The 27,440-nt window shown below is 37.1% G+C and overlaps 1 protein-coding gene across 1 annotated transcript in view; it reads right to left on the bottom strand.

Moving 5' to 3' along the window:
• SLC49A4 (solute carrier family 49 member 4) overlaps positions 1-27,440 on the bottom strand; it is an 86,071-nt gene that overhangs the window by 10,544 nt on the left and 48,087 nt on the right. The window contains exons 5-7 of the mRNA NM_032839.3: positions 24,725-24,833; positions 14,222-14,289; positions 10,394-10,521 (exon numbers count right to left, since the gene is read on the bottom strand). Of these exons, the coding sequence (NP_116228.1) occupies positions 10,394-10,521; positions 14,222-14,289; positions 24,725-24,833 (305 nt within the window). The remainder of the gene's footprint in view (positions 1-10,393; positions 10,522-14,221; positions 14,290-24,724; positions 24,834-27,440) is intronic.

The following is a 27,440-nucleotide window of genomic DNA, read 5'->3' as shown; positions in this document are numbered from 1 at the left end:
CTCAAGTGATCCACCTGCCTCAGCCCCCCAAAGTGCTGGGATTACAAGTGTGAGCCACCGCACCTGACCTAGAATAATCTATCGATCAAGCTGGCATGATGGCTCATGCCTGTAATCCCTTTGGGAGGCTGAGGCAGGGCTGCTTGAGCCCAGGAGTTCGAGACCAGCCTGGGTAACATGGTGAGACCCTGTTTCTCCAAATAATAATAATAATGATAATAATAATAAAGTTTTTTTTTAAATAAAAATTTATTGATCAGTCAGTGGTAGTCAGAGGACAGAGAACCATTGACCAAAACCTTGATGAGCCTAAGAGTTTAAAACAAGAAAATACTGAAGTAAGTAACAGGAAAGAAATCAAGCTCTTAAGGACCAGCAAGTACTACTTCTGAGTAAAGATTCCCAAATTCCAATGGAATTAGCTGTTTTTAGGAAACATGTTTTGAAATAATACTTTCTACATTTTTATTTCTGAAGGAAATGTACTCCACACAATTTGTAATCAGACAAATTAAAATGTAATAATTGAAAAATAATCACAATCTGGTTAATAGAATAATTCTATGTGATAAAATAATGAAAATATAATAACACACTGAAAGGGAACTATCAATATAGAGTCTTGAAAAGAGAGATTTGACTTTAATGATTTTTTAAATCAAGCATGGTACAAAGAAAGAGGCATGGGATGTGTCAGAAGAGTCCAGTCTCTTCTGATACATCTGACGGGGAAGCAGCGGGCTGTCTGAAAACCCTAAGACCTCAAGACCATACAACTCCCTTGGCCCTCATTTCATGCTTATTAAGAATCTTTGGATTTTGGCTTTTTATGTATCTAAATCCTGGGAGGAACTTGGAAGATGAGGGATAATTAACTGTCGTTGGAAAGATAAAATTTTTATTGTGGTTAAACATTGCTGATGAAACTGTAAATAGCTCATCTTCTGGTGAGTAATTTGGAAATGTCTATCAAAATAAATAATGTAATTACTCTTTGACCTAGCAATTCCATGCCTAGGAATTTATCCTACTGCTATGCAGGTATAGGTATACAAAGAACACTTATCCAAAAAAATACAGTGTGAAAAGATTCAAAACAAACTAAGTATCCCCCAATGGGGGCGGTGTTGGTTGGTTAAAAATTTATAAAACATCCAAAGAAATATTATACAATTAAAAATGAGGCACCTCTGTATGTATTATAATAATATTAATAACTAAGATACATAAGTGAAAAAGGTGCTGAAAAGTATGTTATATTAAAATAAACGGCACATACACGTTATCTATCTGTAAATATACAGAATTCCCTGGGAGAATACAGAAGAAACTGGCAATCAGATTTGCCTTTAGAGAGGAAAACTGGGGGGGGTCACAGGAGAGTAGAGACTTTTCACTCTATACTCTTTTTCTACTACTTGAATTTGAATTTTTTACTATGTGTATAGCTTACTTATTTAATAAAATTAAAAGAAATTTCATTATGAACAAATGAATGGACAGCGGACACAACTCCACTTCATGTGAGTTTGTGAGCTCATTAGCTCAGAAATGGTTATCACCAGGTGAGCTGACCCAAAGAGCTGATGTCTATACCCAGGAGCCACATAACACAGCCTTGGCGCAGGATCCTTGACATGAAGATTTTCCCATTTGTTAGAATGCCTATTATATGGAGGACAAATGGGCTACTATATGTAGGATAAACGGATGATATAACTTCAGAGGCCAGTAATCAAAAATTAGAGATTTTCATTCAATTGTCTCAGTCTTGGTGTTTGCTTCTTGTATTACCATAAAAGTGATGACCAAGAGGTTTCTATTACAATGGATAGACATGTGGAAATCACTTGGACATGTGGAAATGCAGAAAGTAAAGAATCACAATAATTTACCCAGGAAGGGGTTAGATTGAGATCTTCATCATCAGAATGGGGGAAGGTAGCTGTGTCAGGACTGATTTAATATATTCCAGTGTTCTGGGGCATGCATAAAGCAGAGGCTGATTATTCCAAGTCTGAATTTGACTTCCATTTGAGTTTTCAGTTCTCATACATTCAGTGGGTGAATGTCATCTATTAAAAGTCAGGCAGACAAGATAATTTCCTGCTTGTCATAGAGGGTTCAAACTACATGATCATTAAGTATTTCCATAACTTTGTATAATACTGATACTAAAATTACAATCAACTGCCTTTCAATTAAAAATTCAAGGTAATTCAGCAGAACAAACACAACTGAAGTGCTGATGCAGTTTTTTTTCTAATAAAAAGCTAATAAAATTTCATGGGCCCACACTTTAAATGGTAAAAAACAAAGTCCTGTGTAGCACAAACTACAGTTAAAAATGAATGTATTTCAAGCACATGACTTGGATCATAACCCTGAAAATACTCCTCCCCACCCTTGTGCCCGTAAAAAACCAAATTACTAAACTTTAGGGAAACAAAACTATGTGTGAATACTTTTTTTTTTTTTTTGGAGACGGAGTCTCGCTCTGTTGCCCAGGCTGGAGTGCAGTGGCGTGATCTCGGCTCACTGAAAGCTCTGCCTCCTGGGTTCACGCCATTCTCCTGCCTCAGCCTCCCAAGTAGCTGGGACTACAGGCGCCCACCACCATGCCCGGCTAATTTTTTGTATTCTTACTAGAGACAGGGTTTCACCGTGTTAGCCAGGATGGTCTCGATCTCCTGACCTCGTGATCCGCCTGTCTTGGCCTCCCAAAGTGCTGGGACTACAGGCGCCCACCACCATGCCCGGCTAATTTTTTGTATTCTTACTAGAGACAGGGTTTCACCGTGTTAGCCAGGATGGTCTCGATCTCCTGACCTCGTGATCCGCCTGTCTTGGCCTCCCAAAGTGCTGGGATTACAGGCGTGAGCCACCGTGCCTAGCCTGAATACATTTTTATTAACTAAAGTTACACTAAAAACTTTGGGGATCAGTGGTTATAAAACAAATCACAGATAAGAATAAGAACTATTCTATCAACATCTAACGAGATTCTCAAGACAGCAATAACAATTACAACTTTATAATCTTGGATTTATATAATTTCTAAAAATATTTTAAAAACTGCTTTCACATATATTATCTTATTTGATCATCCTATCAGCTCTTTGAGGCAGGTATTTTACAGTTGAAGTGACCAAAGTTCTGAAAGTAAAAAAACAGCTTATTTAGAAATAGTGTAAATTATCAGTGCTAATAATATGATTAAGGCTTACAGACTCTAGCATGTTTTCTGCCAATTCACTGTGTCACAGTGAAAAAAGAAAAAAAGTAACAAGGCCTGGTATTTTTTAATCCAATGGTATTGACATGAAAGGCCTATTTCCCAAATCTGTATTCAGCACAAAAGCTGGAAGTGACTGCACATTATATGACAGAACCAAAAACAAAGAACATCAAAAGGTTACAAACAAAAAGATGAATTTTAATCACATTAAATATAAAACTGGCCCCAAATTGTTTAAGTATATAAGAGGGAAAACTTAGCTTAAGCCTTTCTTCAAAACGACTTATCAGATACCTATTACGTGGAGGCTGCTATGTTAGAGCAGTAAATAAAACACACTCTATCCTCAGATCACTCTTATACTCTAAGGAATATGATGGACACCTGCTGCCCCAGCAACCATTTATATGCACAGTGTTAAGATGATAATTATATTTCTCTCTCCAAAAAAAAAAGCATGTCTAACCATGAGAAGCAACAGCCTTGGTGCTGAATGCAGCAGGAAAAGTGTGCTAAATTCTAGTAAAATGTTTTAAGGAGGACCCTAGCAATCTATGATAGGTTTAGAAGAGAGTCATCTGGCAGGTCAGTGGTGTGGAATCCACATCCGATGAGGAATGGTCCTAAGAATGGGGTCGGGGGCAGGGGGGGATGGTTAGATTAAAAGCTAAGGTCAGACATGACAGCTGTCTTCAAATGTTTTGAGGGCTGTCAGTGGAAGAGAAAGGGAGTTGACTTGTTCTCTGCAAGCTATGTTGCTCCAAGTCAGTTATAACTCACTGGGAGGATGAACATTCTAGGCCCCAGAGCTAACAACAAAACAGGTGATGTCTTCTCTTGTGGGAGATATTTAAGTTGTAGACAGGTGAACATATACCTGGTATGTGATAGAAGAGATTCACTTACTCAATGATAAATTATATTAGATGATGCCTAAAGTTCATTTAAGTAGATGAATAACAAATTTAAATACATGTAGGGAGGAGAACTTAACCAGGATATTAAAAACAAAAATCTTGCCAGGCATGGGGCTCACATCTGCAATCCCAACATTTTGGGAGGCCAAGGTGGGCGAATCGCTTAAGCTCAGGAGTTCGAGACCAGCCTGGACAACGTGGCGAAACCCCATCTCTACAAAAAAAAAAAAAAAAAACAACGAAAGTTAGCTGGGCATGGTGGCACACGCCATAGTCAGTAACTTGGGAGTCTGAGGTGGGAGGATAGCTTTAGCCTGGGAGGTTGAGGGTGCTGTGAGCCAAGGTCGCACCAGTGTACTCCAGCTTGGACAACAGAGTGAGACTGTTTCAGAAGAAAAACAAATAAACAAAAAACTTGTAGGTGCTTCTTGGTGGAAAAGAATAATAGATTTGTTTACAGTTTTATGAAGAAATAAGTAGCATTATAAAATAACACAACAGATTTTTATTATCTTAAGGAGTAGATAATAATTATCTTAAGGAGTAGAATCAAGAATTATATCTTAAGGAGTAGAATCAAGAAATGTCCCTGAAGTGTAGGCTTATAACATTAACACACTTTACTGGACAAACTTTTATTATTGTGCATACTGACTGAACTTTTATTTCATGATAAAGTTAGGAAAGTTAACTGGGAATTATTAGATTACACCTTTATTACAAATATTTCACAATCCAATTAAACTTGAACAAGTGAAAATACACCTTTTGCAAATGAAGGCACATATAAAGAGAAACAACAAGCAGCCAGAAGAAACATTCACAGTGTTTGCTAACTATATAGTTTTTTCATAGGTTTTGAGTGTGCTGAATACATAGAATACACATGTATGTGTGTACACACACAGATATATACATTTCTATATCACTGAGCTGTACCTCTTCTCTCAGCATCACATTTCTTCCTAAAAAAAAAGTGACTGCTGTGGCCTTCATAACCTACTTCTGATTAAAATACGCAGTATATGCAACTGTGGTTCCAAAAGAGGATGAGGCATATTTTGCTGTAAGGTACTATTAAATCATGGAACGCTCACTGATACCTAGTCAAGCCCTCTAACTGTAAGAAACACAGAATCTGCTGCAAGACTTATTTCTCTTCTTGAAAATCTCCATGGATAAACATTATATGATCTGCCTCAGCATTTAATGATTCTTACATTAAGATTTTTCACAAATCCATTCTCTTCTTTTAATCCATATTCTACTTTTTCTTCCTTGAGCTGTCTGTCATGAGCATGAGACTTTGTCACTTTTAGTCCATAAAATTGAAAACAGTAGTTAAGAACAGAGGCAAAAGACATGAAAATATAGTAAGAGGATTACTCTCTAGCCTATACATGTTGAATGCCCTTTTATTTTTCTTTTTTTAAGAGACAGGATCTCACTCTGTCATCCACGTTGGAGTGCAGTGGTCATGGCTCACTACAGCCTCGAACTTCCAGGCTCCAGTGATCCTCCCACCTCAGCCCCCTGAATAGCTGGGATTACAGAAACATGCCATGATATCTGGTAATTTTTTTATTTTTTGTAGGGACATGGCCCCACTATGTTGCTCAGGCTGATCTCAAACTCCTGGCCTCAAGTGATCCTATTGCCTTGGCCTCCCAAAGTGCTGGTATTACAGGCATAACCCACTGACCCAGCTGTTGCATGCCTTTCAATACAACTGGGTATGTTTCCTTTCTTTAAATAACACTTGAAGTCACCTTGTGGTCAGCTATCACTCCCTGGGGGCTTCTGTCTAGCTAGTTGTCCTTCCTTACTCCCCCATCCAGCATGTTTCTGATATCACTGTCATAGCATTCTAGTAAGTTTAGATGAAATTAGATAAATAATCTCTCCCAAGGCAACTTCTGTCAAACAGTCAAATTATACTGTTTCAGTAAACTCAACAAAGTGCTAACATTTTTCAAAATGCCATTTTCAAAGCATTCATCTGTTCAGTACAAAATGACTTGGTGAGTTGTGGCTAACAGGGCTGCTAGACATCTAGTTCTCAGATAAGGTGAATAATGTATTTTCAAAATTTTGTTTATTGCATAAACTTCAAGATTTTGAAACTCGTGTTATCTGGTCATGAGGTTATTTATTCGCCCTATTCTAAGTACTTCAATTTAAATAAAGACATAATGCAATTTTAAATATTCTGAGTTTCCCTAAGGAAAAGCATCCAAGAGGATATATGTAAGCAAGTAAATGTATCAAAACAGTATGCTCTGGGATAGACTGGAATGACCCAGTTTTTATTCTGTAGAGATGGTAACAATAATATCACAACCAGTGAACTACAGAAAGATTGCCATAGAAAATTTTAGTTTTAATGAGGTTGGGCGTGGTGACTCACTCCTGTAATCCCAGCTACTTGGGAGGCTGAGGCATGAGAATCACTTGAACCTGGGAAATGGAAGTTGCAGTGAGCTGAAATTGCACCACTGCACTCCAGTCTGGGTGACAGAGTGAGACTGTCTCAAAAAAAAAAGACAAAGTTTTAATGAGACAGCAGTAGCACTTATAACACATGGGTTGAACAAAATTAACTAGCTTTCCATTTATTAAACAGTTTAATACATATATTTACAAATACGTTTCAGGTAGATTCTTCTGATATATAAAAAGCAGTAAAAGAAATTCTAAGTTTGCTAGGAAAGAGGAAAAAGACTAGATATTTTCCTGATTAAAATAGGAATGACCAGTAAAAAAGAAACATGAATTTACCATTACAGACTTTAAATACCAGCCTAAAGGTATAGATTTGTCTATAATTAGATTTTGTAGTAAGTTTCCTTTCATGAAACCTCTTTTACTTAAAAGGAATTAGGTCAGATTTTTACAAGGCTTGTAAGGGTATCTGTGACATATTTATTCAAATTCTCGTGTTCCATTTAAAACATGCCCTTCTACCTTCCTACAGCAAGTGCTGAATAAGAGTGACCACAATTGCTGACTACCACTGGCAACAAGTAACATTTACTGTGGCTCAAATGGAGATAACATATACTTCATTCATTCATTCACTCCTTCTTCAGGGCCTGTGCTAGGTTCCACAGTGGGAGTTGGCACAAAACCATGCTCCAGATTTTCAGACTGGTAGGGAAGATAAGACATATATACCTAAGTAACTATTAAGTAGTATTAGGGGAGAGAGACAAAAACCTGCTATAATTCAGAGAAGGAATGTGGACAAATCTAGTCCGTAACCCAGTGTGCTTGTAAGGTAAAAATACATCTTTCAAGAGTATCTAAGTGACATTCAAAAACTTACTTGCAATTGAAAACAACAGTAGAACTTATAAATTCTGTGGTTGTTAAGGTGGCCACATCAATTCTATCTTTCAATTCTGGCCTTAATTAGAATTCTGCTTTCCTTTCTGTCCAACATAATTGTTTTCAATACCAGACTGGTAAAATATGGTCTTGACTAGGGTCAATCACATCAATTTTAAGATTTAAAAGATGAATAATTTTCAAATGCATTTTTCCGATTATAAAATTAAAACATGCTCATACAAATCCAGACCAAAAAAAAGAGATTAAAAAATTAAATTCATTCTTAATATTCTACCCAGAGATAAAGCTGTTATCACATTAAATTGAAAATACATAAAATTTAATGGAATGTACTATCTTATAATAAAAATTCTACACTTAATTCAAGGGAAAGAAATCTGTTCTTTATGTACTCATGACTATGTTCTTGTAAAATCCCACAGATGCTAACTTGACATACAGTATCACACACAAAAAATCTGAATGTAATGCCATGAATAAGAAGAGTTGTAAACTAAGACTGTTCCACCAGAATGTTGTACAACTGCTAAATTATGAAGTTATACCAGAATAAAATTTTAAAAAAATTCTGGCTCTGGCTCAGAATACTTGCCAAAATTGTTCAAAACTCCAATGTAGGATGCCAGTTGTGTACAACAGTGCACAGTATTTTACTCTGTATCTAATTATTACTTTGGACAACTGGGTTTTCCAGGCAAAGCATGTGTACAGAGAAGAGGGACTGTTGGCAGGATGGTGTAGAACAGGGATTTCCAGGCCTTCTTTGTTCTTAGCACTCCTAGCGTCTCAGTAATTTTTTCAGTGTTCCAAGGCCAAGAGAAACAGCTAACAATCCCATTAATCACATCTTTGGTTCAAACTATTTAATAACATGTATGATATATCCTAACAATTTAGTAGCCATTAAAAAAATAATACTCATAAGCTGAAAGAAATATATTTTTATTTCATCCTTAAAGAACCACAATTACTTATTGATGAGATGTGTGCACTGATGCGCACTGCAAGACTTTTAAAAGTTTTGGAATCAGACTGGACACCCCCACCCTCATTTTGTGTTCCACACTAATTTTTGTGTGGTACTTGTGTGGTACTTCCTTTTTATCACAGCAACCACCAAAAAAATTACTTTGCAAAGATACGATGTCATCGAAAAGAATGCAGCAGAATCTAATGCTGAAACTGGGAACTTCTCTGAACTAGAGGTTCAACCAGTATCTGACAGATGTTGCAGATCCCTGTGCTGCCCTTGTGAGCTTACTGAGGCACTCCAGGGTGGCTGGCTTGGTGCAGAGGTTGCTAATTTTGAGTATAGGGCAATCTTATCCCCTTGCCCTATTATCACTGTAAAAGTGGTAGGAAATCCCAAATAAATGGCTGTCCTTGAAAGATTTGATGCCTCTGATGTGTAAACTGCTGGTTCTTTTATTACAGAGTATAGAGATCCAAAGTGGGATATTCCTTACATATAATGTAGACCAAAAACACCTGCCTTCTCAAAGATTCCCATGGAACATACATGCCACTGGGCAATAGGTCCCCATGGAGTCACTTTCAGACTCTTATTTATTTCTACTCACACAAATGCTTGTTATAAATGACTGTTACAATCTTACAATCTACCAAATAATCCTATAATTAAATATATAATGCAAAAGGTGGCTGAATATTACTTGCAAATAATATAAAATATGCATCTTAATATTTTGCTGGAAGAAAGGAAGGAGTAATAACAGAGTCTCTGGTTTATAAGCCAATAATAATCTGTCATAGTAATTTTAAAAAGATCCCATGGTAGGCAGAGTAATGCCCTCCCTCCCCTAAAGATATTCATGACAATCTCTGGAATTTGTGAATATGTTATTTCACAAGACAAAGGGGATTAAGGTTGAAATGGGACTAAGGTTGCTAATCAGCTGGCCTTAAAATTGACAGACTTTTCCAAATTATCTTGGTGGGTCCAATGTAATCATAAGCATCCTTAAAAGTGGAAGAGGAAGAAAGAAGAAGGCAGAAGGGAAGGGTTCAGAAGCAGATGTAACGATGGAAGAAAGGCACAGATAATGCAACGTGAAAAGGACTTGACCCAAGGTTGCTGGCTCTGAAGGCAGAGGACAGAGCCATAAACAAGGAATGTGGGTGACCTCTAGAAGTTGGAAAAGGCAAGGAAAAAGATTCTTCCCTAGAGTCTGTTCACATTTTGATTTTAGCCCAGTGAGACCTGTATTGAACTTCTACTCTACAGAAATGTAAGATAATAAATTTCTGTTGTTTTAAGTTGCTAAATTTGCATAACTTTTACAGCAGCAATAGAAAATAGACTCTGAATTGATGATATTAATAATGACAAGAAAAACAACAGCAACTAAAAATGTTTCAGGTCCATTAGATAAGCTAAGTAAGCTGGCTGTAATATACTTTCAACAGGTATTTCCAGTAAGTTTTGCTTTGTATTAATGATGGAATAACACTAAATGTAAAATAAACCTATAGGGGCTGGTTCAAATAACTTTACTGAAGTATACCATAGTTTTTTGCCTTGTTAATTATTATTATTATTTAACAGTGATATAATGACTATAACCAAGATAAAAATCTTTGTATTATGCTCTGATAGAAATTTTAAACAAATATAAGCATTTCCATGCTCTATGTGTTAAGGCTAAAGATTATACTTCTTTTCCATGTGAAAAATACCAATTAAAATATTTTTAGTTATTTTTTGGACTCTTTAGATAAGATGATGGTTTGATGACTGGACAAGAGAAACTTTTTTGTATATTTAACAATTACTTACAGAAAGCAAGAAGAAGTCCTACTGTCAGAGTTATGTACACTTCTGTGAATGAAAATATTTATTAAAAGTTCAAAAATAGCCTATGCTCACCTGTGGTTAAAGGTAGGTGTGTGATGCTGTTCAAACAGGTCAGGGTGAACCACGTGGATGACAGTGTAGCTCCCGAAAACAGGAGGAGAAGAATTAGTTTCAGCATACCCCTGATAAAATCTGCAAACCTAAAAACAAAAATGCTCTATTAATTCTAGTGGGATTTAAAAATACTATTTAAGCAAATGACACACTTTCACTAACAACTACTTGAGGAATTTTCCATATATTCTTTTAAAAGACAGTTTTCAGTGTTTTTTTAAAACAAATTTTCTTGTATGATGTTACTTTGTGATAATTTTTTTTCTCTTATAAAACACAAAAAACGGCATCTTTGTTCAGGATCTATAATTTATAGGATATATTCTGAGTGTTTACTTTTTTTTAGAGACAGGATCTCACCATTGCCTGGCTGGAGTGTAGTGATGTGATCACGGCTCACTGCAGCCTCACCTCCCAGGCTCAAGCAATCCTTCCACCTCAACCTGCTGAGTAGCTGGGCTAATTATTATTTTTTTGTGTGTGTACAGGGTTTCTCTATGTTGCCCAGACTGGTCTTGAACTCCTGGGCTCAAGGATCCTCCCACCTCAGCCTCTCCAAGTGCTGGTATTACAGGCATGAGCCACCATGCCCAGTTGATTCTGAGTTTTTAAGTGTCACTGTCATTTTCTTCATATTTTTCTATACTTTCCAAACATTCTATAATGAACATGTATTATCTTAGTTTTGAAAATCAGGCTAACTTGTTGACATGAACTTGCAAAGATCTCTCTCAAAATTCAAACTCACTTAGAGAACAAACACAGATGCCTACACCAGAGCCTCTGAGGTCCTATGTGACCTGCTGCCTGGCCCTGCTCTCTCTTCTTCTACTGTTCTCCAGTTGGATGGCCATGTTTCTGTTTCTCATACATGCCATGGTTGCTTACCACAGCAATATGTAGCTTCCGTACTTGTTCCGTCTGCCTGGAATGCTGGTACCACCCGGATCTTCACGTCTTACTCCTGTTTACCCCTCAGGTCATTCAGGTCTCAGTTCAACAAGGCCCTCTGGGCTCAGTGAAGAAGTCTTTCCCCATCCCACCTCCACTTTCTATTTTATTTCTTCATAGCACTTTCTCTATTGGAAACTCTTGTTTTTGCATTTATTTTTGTCTTCCCTACCAGATTGTAAACTTCTTGAGAACAAAACATACACGGCATCTGGAATAGTGAATATTATTCTTCTAAACTTGGGACTTTTATAGCATTTTAAGTTTTCATGTTTGAGTTTTCATGAAACTAAAGGGCATCTGGTAGAGACGCTTATCATTAGCTATGCCAAAAAAATTTTCCACTTGCCAGCTGCTTTTCCTCACCTGTGGATTAACTGTTGATTGTACGGGCACAATCCTCTGGCTGCACAATTTATTCTGTCCTTCAGAACTGTTCCTCTTATAGAATAGCTGATCCCATCTCAAATACAACATTTACTATATTCTCTTCACTTTTAATTTTCTAAAGTTGATTTACATTTCTATTGTAATTATGTGACTGTCCTTCTTAAAACTTTGAATACTATCTTCTGTTTTGTACTTATTTGACATGATATGGTTAATCATGTTTGTGTTTTCTAGAATAAAATGACTTCCTATGAGAGCTGATGCCATCTTTTGGTGGGAAAAATGAATGCACTTTTGCCCAGTGACTTAAATTTGTCCTCAAGCAGAAAATTCTTAGGTATGCTGAAAAAGTTTCCACAGCTTTACAAAATATTCCTCAAGAAAATCCAAAAGACTGTTTTAATCCCACGCTTACCTAACAGTTTTCAGATTTACATTTTGGTATGCTGCATAAACTTATTTGTCAGATACAGAGATGACAAGGTATAAGAGAATAAAACAGGCTTTTAGTACAAATCAGAGTTGAATTGCAAGAAAGTTTCACAGAAACTGATCATACAAGAATAAACCGACAACTGTAGTCTGCTATTTTTGGAGATCCAGTCCTTTCGAATAGGCTGATACCATTGAAGTGTATTATTAGGACGAAGAAGTATCTTTAATAGTGGTCTTTAATTACAAAAATATCACCCAAAGCACTCATGTATGTCTACAAGGTAGCACTGTCCTAGGGAATCCCAAAAAATGGTGTCAGGAAAGTAATTTTAAAATTGATTTTAGGGCTAGGAGATAACTGAAATTGACTTCAGATCCCAGAGTAAGGGTAGTATTTTTTTAGAACTTCCATTTCAACAAATTAAAAGCAGAAAAGTCCTCATTCTAAATTTTCCCTTTAATTATATCTATATCTAGTTAAAATTAAGGGGTATAGAAGGAAAATAATGACAAAGGAGCATTTGAGACATCATTTTTGATACATAATTGTTCCCCCTTTGACCAATTTGGTGCTCAGAATAGGATGTGATCAATGACTCACTATAATTGGCTTGGAGATTTAACTAGAAAAATGAGGTATGATTCTTGTCAAAATAAGACAGGTCAATGTATTTTTAGTATCAGTGATTTCCTACAAATACTATATTCCCCTTCTGCTTCTTTAGCTTTTAGTTTTCTTATATTTTCCTAACACTTCAAATAAAGTGATTTAGAAATTACAGTGTCAATTTATTCTTTCAATATCCCTGAAACACTATGTGAACCATAAAGTCTAGGTATAACATTATCCTGTATCAATTATATTCAAGTATTTAGATATTGAGGTGATATGTGGATCTTATATTTGATCTTCCCAAATATATAATTAGATTCTCCTCTTCATGGTAAAGTTGATTGCCTAATTTTGTTTTTGAGCAGAGTAAAATGATTTGGGAAGTGAATGAATATTATCTCTTTGGAAATACCAAGAATAGTTTTATAGGCAGTTGCCTAAGAGAGTAACATTTTAATTCTTTTCCTTTTTTTTTTTTTTTTTTTTTAGAACGAATGGGACCTTTTTCCTACTTCTGACTCATTCTAACAATGTGTTGTTGTAATAGGTTATGATCAAAGAGAGTGTGATGAAACTGAAAGTCTTCACAGACATTTTGCATCAAAAAGGGATAACCATAGGAAAATACCAGCCAAAAAAGACCATAAATAAATAATGTCTGCTAATCAGGACACTGCCTGTTCATGGAAAGTTCTATTGACACTTTTACAAATGATTTCTTCTCAACCCTTTTAGTCTCCACAGCTATTAATTTGTCTTTATTATTATATTACCTTTTTTGGTCTCCATTTGTAGATGTTGTTCTCCAATAATATGGAAAGAGGCACCTTAACTACACTGGAAATACATTTCCAGTCTCCAGAAAAAAACACTTGAGGAAGGGATACTCCAGAGAAACTTTCTTATAGCAGCAAATTCTTTTTTTTTTTTTTTTTGAGATGGAGTCTCACTCTATTGCCCAGGCTGGAGAGCAGTGGCGTAATCATGGCTCACTGCAACCTCTGCCTCCCGGGGTTCAAGCAATTCTCCTGCCTCAGCCTCCCTGGTAGCTGGGACTACAGGCGCTCATCACCACACCCAGGTAATTTTGTGTTTTTAGTAGAGACAGGGTTTTGCCGTGTTGGCCAGGCTGGTCTTGAACTCCTGACCTCAGGTAATCCGCCTGCCTCAGCCTCCCAAAGTGCCAGGATTATAGGCGTGAGCCACCATTCCCGGCCTGTTAGCAGCAATTCTATATAACGCATATGAATTTTCTTGTACTCTGAACAAGTACCCCTTTCTGACCTTTGCTTGTTTTACTTTTCCCTGAATTGTAATGTTTATTTAGGGGAGCCTATTTATCTTTAGGCTTTTTCCCCCTGCTCTGTCCACTCACAAGTTTAACAAAATATTCTCACCTTGCCATAGCTATTCCAACAACACAGCCTCCAACTATGGACCAAAATCCAATCCAGCCAGCATCTACCTGTTAAGAAAGAAGCAGACACATTTAATACAAGACAATCATACTGCAATATAAAAGGAATGAAAAAAAGTCCTCTATAATCAATATGTTAGTAGCTAAATGGATGAAATAAAAGAATTCATGTGTAACTAATGTATACAAACATCTAAAATATGTCCTTGATTAACTGTTTATTGGAATATTGAAAACAAAATAATCAACGTCATCAAACAAATATTTTCAAGTATGTACTACATGCCTAATATTGGACTAGGAACTCTTAAAATAAGAAAAGGATGGAAGATAGTCACAGCCTGAAAAAGTTTAAATATAACCAACATAGGAAACTGCTAGGTAATAATGAGATGCTAAAACATGGGGCAACAACTAAAAATGTATCAGGAGGTGGAAGGCAGGGAGAAATGTGGGGCTGAGCAAGAGAGTAGACAGAGAAAAAGAAGTTGAGCTGGGTTTCAAAAGTATAGCTTGTTCCCCTCTTGAGAAAACATTTCCAGCCCTGTCATTTACTAACTGTGTGACTCTGAGCAAATTATGCCTTTTTACCTGTAAAATGGATTAAATGAGATAATTTGTATACAGTACCCAGATCAGTGGCCAAGACATAGGAAGTGCTCAATAAACATTAGCTGTTCTTATTATTACTAACTGATGAGGCGTCTCCATCTATCTTGTCTCTTTCCTGCTTGTGTGGCCACATTTTTTCACAGCAATCTACGAATGCTGCCTACATTCCTCATCACTCCTGTATCTTTAACTCTTATTATGACTTGGCTTCTGTCCCAACTCATACTCTAGGTCTCAGTTCCTGCATTAGTGGAATGGGGATAATAAAGTTTTTCTGAGGGTTAAATAAGTTAATAAATGTAAAGTGCTCAATGCATGTTAGTTGTTATGAATGAAATTTCATGTCTCTAATAATACTGGTTCCTCTTTCTCCTTCCCATGACCACCATGCTTGCTTTTATTATCTTCTTACTTCTTGACCCCTGTCAGAGCTTCTTAAATGGTCTTCGCAATCTATTTTGCTCACTGTTGCCAGAATAATTATCCTAAGCATTCCGTGTCCCTGCTCGGAAATAGTTACTGGTTTTCCTTGTGGTTACAGGACAAAGTCCAAACTTGACCTGGCACTTGAGCATTGTGCAAACTAGCTTCTACCTTTTGTTGTTTTTCGAGTCATATTTTTCTTTTTCTTTCTTTTTTTTTTTTGTTTTGAGACAGAGTCTTGCTCTGTCGCCCAGGCTGGAGTGCAGTGGCACGATCTCGGCTCACTGTAAGCTCCGCCTCCCGGGTTTACACCATTCTCCTGCCTCAGCCTCCTGAGTAGCTGGGACTACAGGCGCCCGCCACCACGCCCGGCTAATTTTTTGTATTTTTTTAGTAGAGACTGGGTTTCACCGTGTTAGCCAGGATGGTCTTGATCTCCTGACCTCGTGATCCGCCCGCCTCGGCCTCCCAAAGTGCTGGGATTACAGGCGTGAGCCACCGCGCCCAGCCTTTGAGTCATATTTTTCATTACACTTGTGACAGGGATTGCCAGCTGTCCACCAAACGATTTCTTCTTCTACCTGGGTACTTAGCTAGATGACATGTCCCAGTTCCTAGCTGGAACAGGTGACCATGTGTCAGTTCTCATTAATGGAAGTGAGCATAAGTGAAGTGTGCCACCTCCAGGTTAGAACTTGGAAGAAGGTGTATGCCTCCTCCATGCTTTCTCTCCCTTCCTGCCAGCTGCAATCTGGACGTAGCTGCCCAGCTGCACCCATGCATATAATGACAAGGTCCTAGGGGACAGAAGAGAATACAAGTGGAAGCAGCCTCGGTCTCTTAAATCAGTGTGAGGAAAAGAGCTGTCCAAACTGGACAACTGTCCTAGATTACACACGCTGTCCCAGATTGCAATGTGAATGACAAATAAATTTTTCTTAAGTCTCAGAATTTTGGAGGTCTACTTCTCCCAGGAGCATAGCCTATTCTAAGCGATACAGTAACTTTATATGAGTCTTTTGCTCTATTGGTGTTTGCTGCCAGAAGCAAACATGAAGGCTCTCAGGAGAAGGATAACATCCTGAAGCTTAAATTATCGCTCTATAGTTTTTCACACTATTGGCATTTGAGGCAAGAGAATTCTCTGTTCTGTAGGACCACTCCTCTCATTGCAGCACATCTGGTATCTATAATCCAACGCCCACTAGGCTCCCACAAACACTTCCTTCTATCCTCTAGGTGAGTGGGGTCATGCTCTAGGTTAAGGACCACTGCATATCTGGCTGTACTGATGCTGGTACTTTCAGAACATTTAGTACTTTTCTACTTGCTTTGTTCATGACATTTGCCCTAGTTAATACAATTCTACCCAATACTTAATTTAAAAATTTAAAAAATTGCTTTCATGTAATTTTAAATTCTACTTTATTTAATAACTGATATGATTCAGGGTCTCTATCTCTCTCAGAGTTTGTACCAAGAAAGATACTTGGAAGGACTTCTTAGGGTTTACAACATGAAGCACAGATCTGCCAAATCAATATCATTTTTTGTGTGAGTGACATGGGGCCTTACTCTGTCACCCAGGCCGGAGTATAGTGGTGCAATCTTGGCTCACTGCAGCCTCCGCCTCCTGGGCTCAAGTGATCCTCTCATCTCAGACTCCCAAGTAGCTGGGATTACAGGCGTGTGCTACCGCGCCCAGCTAATTTTTTGTATTTTTGGTGGAGACAGGATTTTGCCATGTTGCCCAGGCTAGTCTCGAATTCCTGAGCTCAAGTGATCCACCTGCCTCACCCTCCCAAAGTGCTGGGATAACAGGCGTGAGCCACCATACCCAGTCAAAATCAGTATCATTTAAATGGGTGCTACACTTTTCCTTAACAGAACTGAGCATACTTGGAATACCTGCCATCCAGAAAAACAGGTGAGAAAACTAAAGGAAGCCTTTCTTATTATAGTAAAGGTGCTGCTATGGTCTGAATGTTGGTGTCCCCCACAAATTCACATGTTGGAACTTAATCCCTAAAGTGATCATATTAAGAGGTGGGGGCCTTTAGGAAGTAATTAAGGGATGAGTGCCCTTATAAAAGAGGTTGAAGGGAGCTGCCTTGCCCCTTTGCCACATGAGAATGCAGCAAGAAGGGGCCATCTTGGCAGCAGAGAGTGAGCCCTCGCCAGATATAAATGAGTTGGAACCTTGATCTTGGACTTTCTAGCCTCCAGAACTGTGAGAAATAAATTTCTATGATTTATAAATTACCCAGTCTAAAGTATTTTGTTGTGGAAGTCTGAACAGACTAAGACACGTACACTAGGTAATTTAGGTTAGTATTCTGGTTGAGAACTAGAAAATCTGGGGAAAATTTTATCTGAAGCCATCAGAGAGCCAAGAAAATAATCCAGAATTCTGAAACCATGATCTAGGATGGGAAGATAATCTGAAGAGATAAGCACGGTATTTGGAGACAATTTTCCTTTAGGGTTGTCTGCTAATTTCAGACAAGGTGGCTAAGGGACTGAGAAGTTATTGACAGCCTCACTGACCTAGAAGAAAAAATATGAGTTTAGGGCCTGCTGTGGGGTGCCTTTGTAAAAACCCCGGGTTTTAACTGGGCACTCTGAAGGGCTGTACCTAAGAGCAGGAGGAACTAGAAATGGAACAGCCTCCTGAGGGACTAAAGCCCAGCTTTAAGTGATCTCAAGCTCTGAAACTAGATTAAGGTGATTCTCAGACTTCTGCCAGAAAAAATATAAATTCTCTCTGAAGGAAAACAATATCATCTTGATACTTAAATTATCTCCACAGTTTTTCATGTACTATGTCTAGCACTCAATCAAAAATAACTGAATGCATAAAGAGATTTTTTAAAATTACCAAATATCAAACATATAAATAGACCTACAAGGGACCAAGATAATGGAATTATGAGATACAAATTTGAAATAACTATTTTTAATAGAGAAAAAAATAAGATATCAAGCATTTCTACTGAAATCTGTCAACTATAAAAAAGAACCAAAGACAGGCCAGGTGTGGTGGCTCATGCCGTTAATCCCAGCACTTTGGGAAGCCAAAGCAGGCGAATCACCTGAGGTCAGGAGTTTGAGACCAGCCTGGCTAACATGGCAAAACCCCGTCTCTACTAAAAATACAAAAATGAGCTGGGTATGGTTGTACGCGCCTGTAGTCCCAGCTACTGGGGAGGCTGAGGCAGGAGGACTGCTTGAACCCAGAAGGCAGAGGTTGCAGTGAGCTGATCACGCCGCTGCACTCTAGCCTGGGTGACAGGGCAAGACTCCATCTCAAAAAAAAAAAAAAAAAAGAATCAAAGATAAATTTTATAAAATGTAAAGTAACTCACAGATGAATTTAATAGCATATTTGACACAGTTGAAAACTGAAATAGTGAGTTGGAAGAAAAGATAGCTAAAATATCTAGTCTGAAGCATAGAAAGGAAAAAGAATATGTCATAACAAAAAAAAGTGGGTGGGAGAAGAAAAGAAAGGCAAAAGAGACACAGAGAATACAGTATAAAGGTATAATGTATATAGTTAGAATACCCAAAAGAAATTAGAGAAAACAGAGCACAAGTTTTGAAGAGACACTGACTAGAAATTTTCAGAAATTAATGAGAGACATCAAGCTAACAAGACGACATTCAATAAGTTGTGTAAACCTCAAGTAGAATAAATTTAGAAAAAAAATGCCACCTAGTTATATCATATCAAAGCAAAACTGCTGAAACCAATGATATACAGAAAATCTTAAAAGCAGCCAGCTTTTAAATTTGAGAGCTAACTTCTCAATTAAAACAATGGAAGCCAGAAGAAAATGGATCTTTTTTTTCAAAGAACCAAAAGAAAATGACTGTCAACCAATAATTCTATGCCCAGCAACAGAAAAACTCTAAAAATGAAGATAAAATGAAGACATTTTTAGACCAAAACAACAACAAAATAAAATGCAAACACCAAACTAAAGAATTTGTCACCCACAGACCTGTACAATAAACAAACAAAAACACTAATGGGTGCTCTTTAGATAGAAGAAAAATGACTACAGATTTGAAGACTGAAGATAAAGAAATAAAGAACAAAATGAGTAAACATGAAGATAAATTCGAGTCAATGAATATTAACTGTGTAAACAATAATGTCTTGTGCAGTTAAAATATATGACAGTAATAGCCTGAAAGATGGGAGAGGGTTAAATGAAGTTAAAGGGTTCTAAAAACCTTAGATTATCCTAGAAAAGGTAAAATTCTAATTTGATAAGTCAAGTGTGCATTCTGTACTTTTTAGGGTAATCATTAAACAGTAAAAGAGTCTATAACTGCCAAGCTAATAGAGTGGGGGGAAATTAAAGTAATAAAAAATACTTAATCCAGAAGGTAGGAAAGATGACAAAAAGAATAGACAGGGCTGAACAAAATAAAGACCAATAGTAAGATGGCAGGTCTAAACCCAAACTTGTCAGTAATTGTATTAAATATAAATGCACTAAATACTCCAATTAAAACACAAAGATGGCCCGACATGGCCCACACTTTGGGAGGCCAAAGTGTAAGGATTGTTTGAGCTCAGGAGTTCCAGACCAGCCTGGGAAACATAGAGACTTCATCTCTACAAAACTTGAAAAAATTAGCTGGGCGTGGTGGTGTGCACCTGTAGCCCTAGCTACTTGGGTGGCTGAGGTGGGAGGATCATTTAAACCCAAGAAGTTGAGGCTCCAGTGAGCCATGCTTCTGCCACTGCACTCCAGCCTGGGCAACAGATCAAGATGCTGTCTCAAAAAAAAAAAAAATCAACTCAAAATGGATTAAAGATTTAATCCTTTTCCTGTTTGCCCTGAGAATACTCGCCAGAGGTGCTTTTGCAGCTGCAGCATTTACCCCAAGATATCTTTGCCATTAACTATCTTGCTTTTATGACTATTTTCACATCACTCTTAGTATATCAACTTTGGCGACAAAAGACATCGTTCTACTTATAGCATTCTGTTTTTAGTAGTGGTATTTCCATTTACAAAATATAGTAATTCTCAACTGCTGAAAATGTCAAATCCTAGAAAAAGGAGCATTCCTACGTGTGATATTAACATCGTTCTCAAACAGTCGTTGGCTAGAGATTTATTTGACGGATCCGATTTTTCTGAAATAGACGATTCTGATGATTCAGATGATTCTGATGTTAGTTCTATTTAGAAATAACTCCAAGAACAGTTTTTATATTTTCATATTGAAAGTCAGTCAGATTTGCTTCAGCATCAAAGAGCATGTTTATATAAAATTAAATGAGTGCTGGCAGCGAGCTGCACTTTTTTTTTTTCTAAAAGGGAAAAGGGTTCAATGTAAGACTTGAAACTATGAAACTACTAAAAGAAAACATTGGGGGAACACTACAGGACACTGGTCTGGACACAGATTTTTTGAGTACAGCCTCAAAAACACAGGCAACAAAAGCAAAATCAGACAAATGGGATTACATAAAGCTAAATGGCTTCTGAACAGCAAAGGAAACAACAGAGGGAAGAGACAACTTACAGAATGGGAGAAATATTCACAAACTATACATCCAACAAGGGATTAAGAACCACTATCTATCTATAAGGAACCCAAGCAACTCAACAGCAAAAAAAAACCAATCCAATTAAAAAATAAGCAAAAGACCTGAATAGACATTTCTCAAAAGAAGACATATAATGGCCAACAAATATACAAAAAGAAATGTTCAGCATCACTAATAATCAGGGAAATGTACAACAAAACTACAATGAATAGCATCTCACCCCAGTTAGGATAGCTATCACCAAAAAGACAAAAAGTAACAAATGCTGACAAGGATACAGAGAAGGGGGAGTGCTTGGACACTGCTGGTGGAAATTAAAGAAGTACAGCCATTATGGAAAACGGTACAGAGGTTCCGTAGAAAACGAAAAATAGAACTACCATATGATGTAGCAATCCCATTTCTGGGTATATACCCAATAGAAAGGAAATCAGTATATAAAAATCAGTATATAAAATCAGTATATGAAAAAGAAATCTGCACTCCCATGTTTATTGCAGCACAATAGCCAAGGTTTGGAAACAACCTAAGTGTCATCAACAGATGAATGCATCAAGAAAATATCAGATATATACACAATGGAATATTATTCAGTCACAAAAAAGAATGAAATCCTGTTATTTGCAGCAACATGGATGTTAAGTGAAATCATGTTAAGTGAAATAAGCCAGGTATAGAAAGACAAACATTGCACGTTCTCATTCATATGTGGGAACTAAAAAGGTGGATTTCAGGGAAGCAGAATGTAGAATGATAGTTACCAGCTGCTGATGAAGAAGGGTGGGAGGATGAAGAGAAGTTGGTTAAGGGGTACAAAAATACAGTTAGATAGAAAGAGTGAGTTCTAGTACTTGATAGTACAGTAGGGAAATTACAGTTAACAACAGCTTATTGTGTATTTCAAAATAGCTAGAAGAGAAGAGTTGTAAGTTCCCAACACAAAGAAAAAATAAATGTTTGAGGTGGATAGCACTCTTACCAATTTGATCATTATACACTGTGCACAGGTATCAAAATATTATATATCCCCCCCAAATATGTACAGCAATTACATATCAATTTTAAAAATAAGAAAAATAAAATAAAAATTTTAAAAGCTGCTCAGCTTCAAAAAGTATCAAATACCTGAGAATAAAGCTAACAAACACATAGAAGGTATCTTTGCTGAAAATTATAAAGCATCATTCAGAGACATTGGGACCTAAGTAAATGAGGAGAAATATAATGATCATGGTTCAGAAAACTCAAATATTATAAAGGAGTTAATTTTGAAAATGATCTGTAAATATAAAAACTCTAACAGAAATCCTAATAAAGGGAGAAATTTACTAAATATCAAAACTAGTACTTATTTATAACACTAGTATAAATAACACAATTTGGTATTGGTGCAGGGACAGACAAACAGACTAAAGGAATAAAGTCTAGAAATACACCAGTGTATATAAGGAGACTTGCTTACAACAAAGATGAATAGAGGGCAGTGAAGAAAAAAAATGATCTTTTCAAACACTGATATTAGGTTAACAAATATCTATGGGGAAAAAAGAAACTTAACGCCTATAATAAATATAAAATCAATTCTAGGTTTAAATTCTAGGTAAATGTGACAGGTAAAAGAACAGAGCTCCAGAACAGCACTGTCCAACAGAACTTTCTTTGATGATAGAAATGCTCTCTATCTACACCGTGCAACATGGTAGCTGCTAGTCTCATGTGGCTATCCCGCACTTGAAAAGTGCTACTGCAACTAAGGAAGTGATTTTTTACTTTTATTTCATTTCAATTGGTTTAAATATCAATTAAGTTTGAAGTTTATTTTGAATGTGGCTAGTAGCTACTATACAGGATGACACAGTTGTACAAGATAACATATTTATGAACTTGGAGCAAGCAAAGATTTATCTTTCTCTTTTCTGCATTATAGCCTCAGTCTGCTAAATCCAACATCTAGAGTATCTAAGAGTTGGTTTCTAATGATTGCTTTTTTAATTTTTTTAATTTTATGTATCTATATTTGAGACCACCACACCCAGCCAAATAGGGGTCATACTTTCCTGTTTCTTTACATGTTTAATGCACTTTTTTTTAAATTGTATACTGGGCCAGGCATGGTGGCTCACGCCTGTAATCCCAGCACTTTGGGAGGCTTAGGTGGGCGGATCACGAGGTCAGGAGATTGAGACCATCCTGGCTAACATGGTGAAACCCCGTCTCTACTAAAAATACAAAAAAATTAGCCGGGTGTGGGAGGCACCTGCAGTCCCAGCTACTCGGGAGGCTGAGGCAGAAGAATGGCGTGAACCCGGGAGTCAGAGCTTGCAGTGAGCTGAGATCGCGCCACTGCACTCCAGCCTGGGCGACAGAGCGAGACTCCATCAAAAAAAAAAAAAAAAATTGTACACTGTATGTTGTGGATGACACAATAAAGAGATTCTAGATTCTTTTATCTTTTCTAAGATGGCTGGCTTTTGTTCTAGTAGGCAGTTCAATTACTAGTTGATCACCTTGAGCATGTGTAGGCCTCATTTTGTACTTTATAAGGATAGATCTCCAAACTCTCTCCTCTTCAGATTTTTGTCTTTGTTTATAATGGGTCTACACTAGAGTAAGGCTTCCTCTACCTAGGGCATGGTCCTTGATTCTACAGTTTGGCTATTCTGGTTAACAAGTGTGAATGAGGTGTTACCATTCTGGCTGGGCCAGAACTCCAAGACAATCTTGACGTCTTCTATCTTTGTTCTGCTTTCAACCCATACCACTCTCTCTGTTAAGCCTCCAGTAGTTTTGCCCTTTATATGTGCAGCCCATTTCTCAGCCAAAGATTACTGGAGTCCCCCAAAGTCCTCTGGGGAGCCCTCTTCTGCACAGCCCTCTTCTTTACGTATCGGTAAGAAAAAGGCAGCCCAATAGTGGGCAAGAGACTCAAACTAGTATGTCACAAGAAAAAGATATTCAAAATATCCAATTCACACTGAAAAGACACCACAGAAGTCACTATGATGGCATACAACTGCACAGCTATCAGCATGTCTAAAGTGAAAAAGACTAATATTATCACACAAGTGGCAAATGATGTGGGATGATGAGAAATTTTTGCTGGTAGGATTACACATGGATACCACCACTTTGGAGAAGTTTGGCATCATCTACCAAAGTAGCATATACTATACGCAGCAGTTCCATTCCTAGATATGTATCCAGTAGAAATGTGTATAGAGGTGCATAGAGACATGTAAGAGAGTGTTAATACAGCATTGTTTGTGGCTGTCAAAACTGGTTAACAATCCAATCCAAATGTTCACCAAAAGCAGAATAGACAAATTTTTTTTTTTTTACTCATACAATAGAATATCACAGCAGTGTGTTCTCTTCTATTTACCTCTCAAAATTTCTCTCTCCTCCTTTCTACCATGCTATCTGGAAGCAAAGAGAAGGAATGGATGACATCAAGCATATAGGTGAAATGTTTATTTTTAAAGAAATGAAATACCCTTATTTGGAGCCCAGAGAGAAAGTCAGAAACTAGATGAAGAAATAGCTATATATTTGATGATGGGATCTTAATCTTCTTTATAAGGTACGAAGCAAGGATAAAGAATGGGGTCAACAAAACTAAGACTTCCTTCCTTTTTTAAAAAACCAGTAGTATCATTAATAATGCCCACAGAAATGTGAAATTCACAACTATTGTCAAAATCAAGGAGGAAAATCAACATTATTTTTTACCTATTCCATAAAGATCTTGCTTTTGCAACAATGGTATAGGACGATGTTTTACCCAGTCCTTGAAGCTAAAACCAAGAACACGTAACCAGTATTTATAAATTAAATGAACAAAAATACCTACAACATATAAAGAAATAAAATACTTACTTGGCTGACATGCGCTGGTGTTAAAATTAAGTCCAGAACTCCAGACCAGCCAGCAAATACACCAAGTGGTATGGCATATGCTAAAGCAATCATCAAAAATCGAAAATTGCTGTGAATGAGAAATAAAAGGAAACATTGTAACAAATTAAAAATCTAGAATAAACTTAGTCATGAAAAATGTATGTCATTTGGAAACTGGAACACCAGAATCAGAAAATATCTGCAGAATGGCATTAAAAACTCAAAAAAAAAAAAAAAAAAAAACGTGCTGGAAAGGTAGCAGAGAAAAGGAAACGCATATATACTGCTGGTTGAAGTGTAAATTGGTTCAGCCACCATGGAAGGCAGTTTGGCAATTTCTAAAAGAACTTAAAAGAGAATTACCATTTGACCCAGCAATCCATTATTGGGTAAATCACTCCACTATAAAAACACATGCACGAGTGTATTCACTGCAGCACTATTCACAATAGCAAAGATGTGGAATCAACCTAAATGGCCATAAATGGTAGACTGGATAAAGAAAATGTGGTACAAATACACTATGGAATACTCCACAGACATAAAAAAGAACAAGATCACAACCTTTGCAGCAACACGGATGGAGCAGGAGGCCATTATCCTAAGAAAACTAACACAGGAACAGAAAAGCAAATACCACATGTTCTCACTTATCAGTGGGAGCTAAACATCAAGTACATATGGACACAAAGAAGGGAAAAACAGACACTGGGACCAACTTGAGGGTGCAGGGTGGGAGGAGGGTGAGGACAGAAAAACTACCTATTGGATACTATGCTTATTATCTGGGTGACAAAACAATCTGTACACCAAACCCCCATGACATGGAATTTACCCATGTAACAAATCTGCACACGTACCCTGAGCCTAAAAGTTAAAAAATATATATGTATATATACACACATATACACATATGAATAACTATATATACACATATATGTACAATATGTGTATGTACAGGTATATATATATATATATTCTTCAAGAAGCTCAAAGTGGCAAGCTTTATAAAAGAAAAAAATCTGTCAGTTAATAAATTCAAGCTTCTTGAAATTTTTTTTTTTTTTGAAGATGGAGTTCCACTCTTGTAGCCCAGGATGGAGTGCAATGGTGTGATCTCTGCTCACTGCAACCTCCGCTTCCCGGGTTCAAGTGCTTCTCCTGCCTCAGCCTCCCAAAGAGCTGGAATTACAGGCACCTGCCAGCACACCCAGCTAATTTTTGTATTTTTAGTAGAGATAGGGTTTCGCCATGTTGGCCAGGCTGGCCTCGAACTCCTGACCTCAGATGATCCACCCACCTTGGCCTCCCAAAGTGCTGGGATTACAGGCGTGAGACATTGCACCTGGCTCGCTTCTTGAAATTTTTTATTTTTATAAGAATAATATTTTGTTCATATTGTTTAAAATTCTCAATGTTTATTATACAGATAACCAATATTATTTCATCAAATGAGTAGGTAGTTTAAAAAAAGCTCTGGCCAGGTATGGTGGCTCATGCCTGTAATCTCAGCACTTTGGGAGACCAAGGTAGGAGAATAACTTGAGGCCAGGAGTTCAAGATCAGCCTGAGCAAGATAGTGAGACCTCACCTCTATAAAAAATATATAAAAATTAGCCAGGTATAGTGGTGTGCACCTGTAATCCCAGTTAATTGCAAGGCTGAGGCAGGTGGTTACTGTGTGCTATGATCACATCACTACAATCTGGCAGTACTTGACAAATTAAGCTTAGACTATTTTATGACCTAGCAATCATGTTACAGGGTCTGTTTTCCAAAGAAATTTTCAGGTCTATGGTGACGTGCATGAGGATGTCACTGCAGTAGTGTTTATGGTAACAATAAATTGGAGGCAATCTGGGTACACAATGAGAATGAGTAGATGAAATGTGATAGATTAATACCATGGAGTACAAAGAACTAGGTGTACACACAGCAGCAGGGGTGCATCTTGAAACAGAGTGCTAACATCACAAAATGAGAGTTGTCCAGATATTATACGCCTCCTGATGAAAGGAAGCAGCATCACTTACGAAGCGGTCTTGTAAAACAAAAACAAAAGCAAAACTAAAACCTGAATCACAACATACTTTACAAGAACCATAAAGGAGAGGGGAACATGTCAAACTATACAATGAGGAAATCAACAAAATCCAGATGTTGGGAATAAAAGTGCTGGCTCCTCAACAATTAAATTATAAGAAACAAAGAGCCATGTTAAGGAAACCTATAGATTCTAAGGCACTTTGGACCAATTGCAATGTGTGGCCCTAATGTGGAAACTGTTCAAACAAACTGTTAAATGTTTATGAGATAATTGAAAATTTAAACACTGATTTGATATTAGCAAATTATTATTTAAAAGTTTTTAGTTAAAATAACGGCACTATATGTTAAAAAGAGTCTATTTTTGACATATATTGCACATATTGAAATATTTCTGGATGAAATGGAGTTGTCATCTGGGATTTGTTTCATGATGCAGGAAGGTGGGAAGTGGGAAGTGGGTGGTACAAAGATAAAACGAGACTGGTTGTAAACTCACTGACAATTGTTGATACCGACTTATGGGGTTATACTATTCTACCTTTGTATATTATTGTAACATTCCCAAATGAAAAGTTAAAAAAAAATAAACCATGTAGTGCTTAGTGAAAAATGTCAAACAGAATGATATGCACAATATGGCATAATT

The sequence above is a fragment of the Homo sapiens genome, chromosome 3, assembly GCF_000001405.40.
Source record: "Homo sapiens chromosome 3, GRCh38.p14 Primary Assembly".
NCBI lineage: Eukaryota > Metazoa > Chordata > Mammalia > Primates > Hominidae > Homo > Homo sapiens.
Note: the sequence above shows the minus strand (reverse complement) of the source record. Positions and strands in the feature narration are given on the sequence as shown.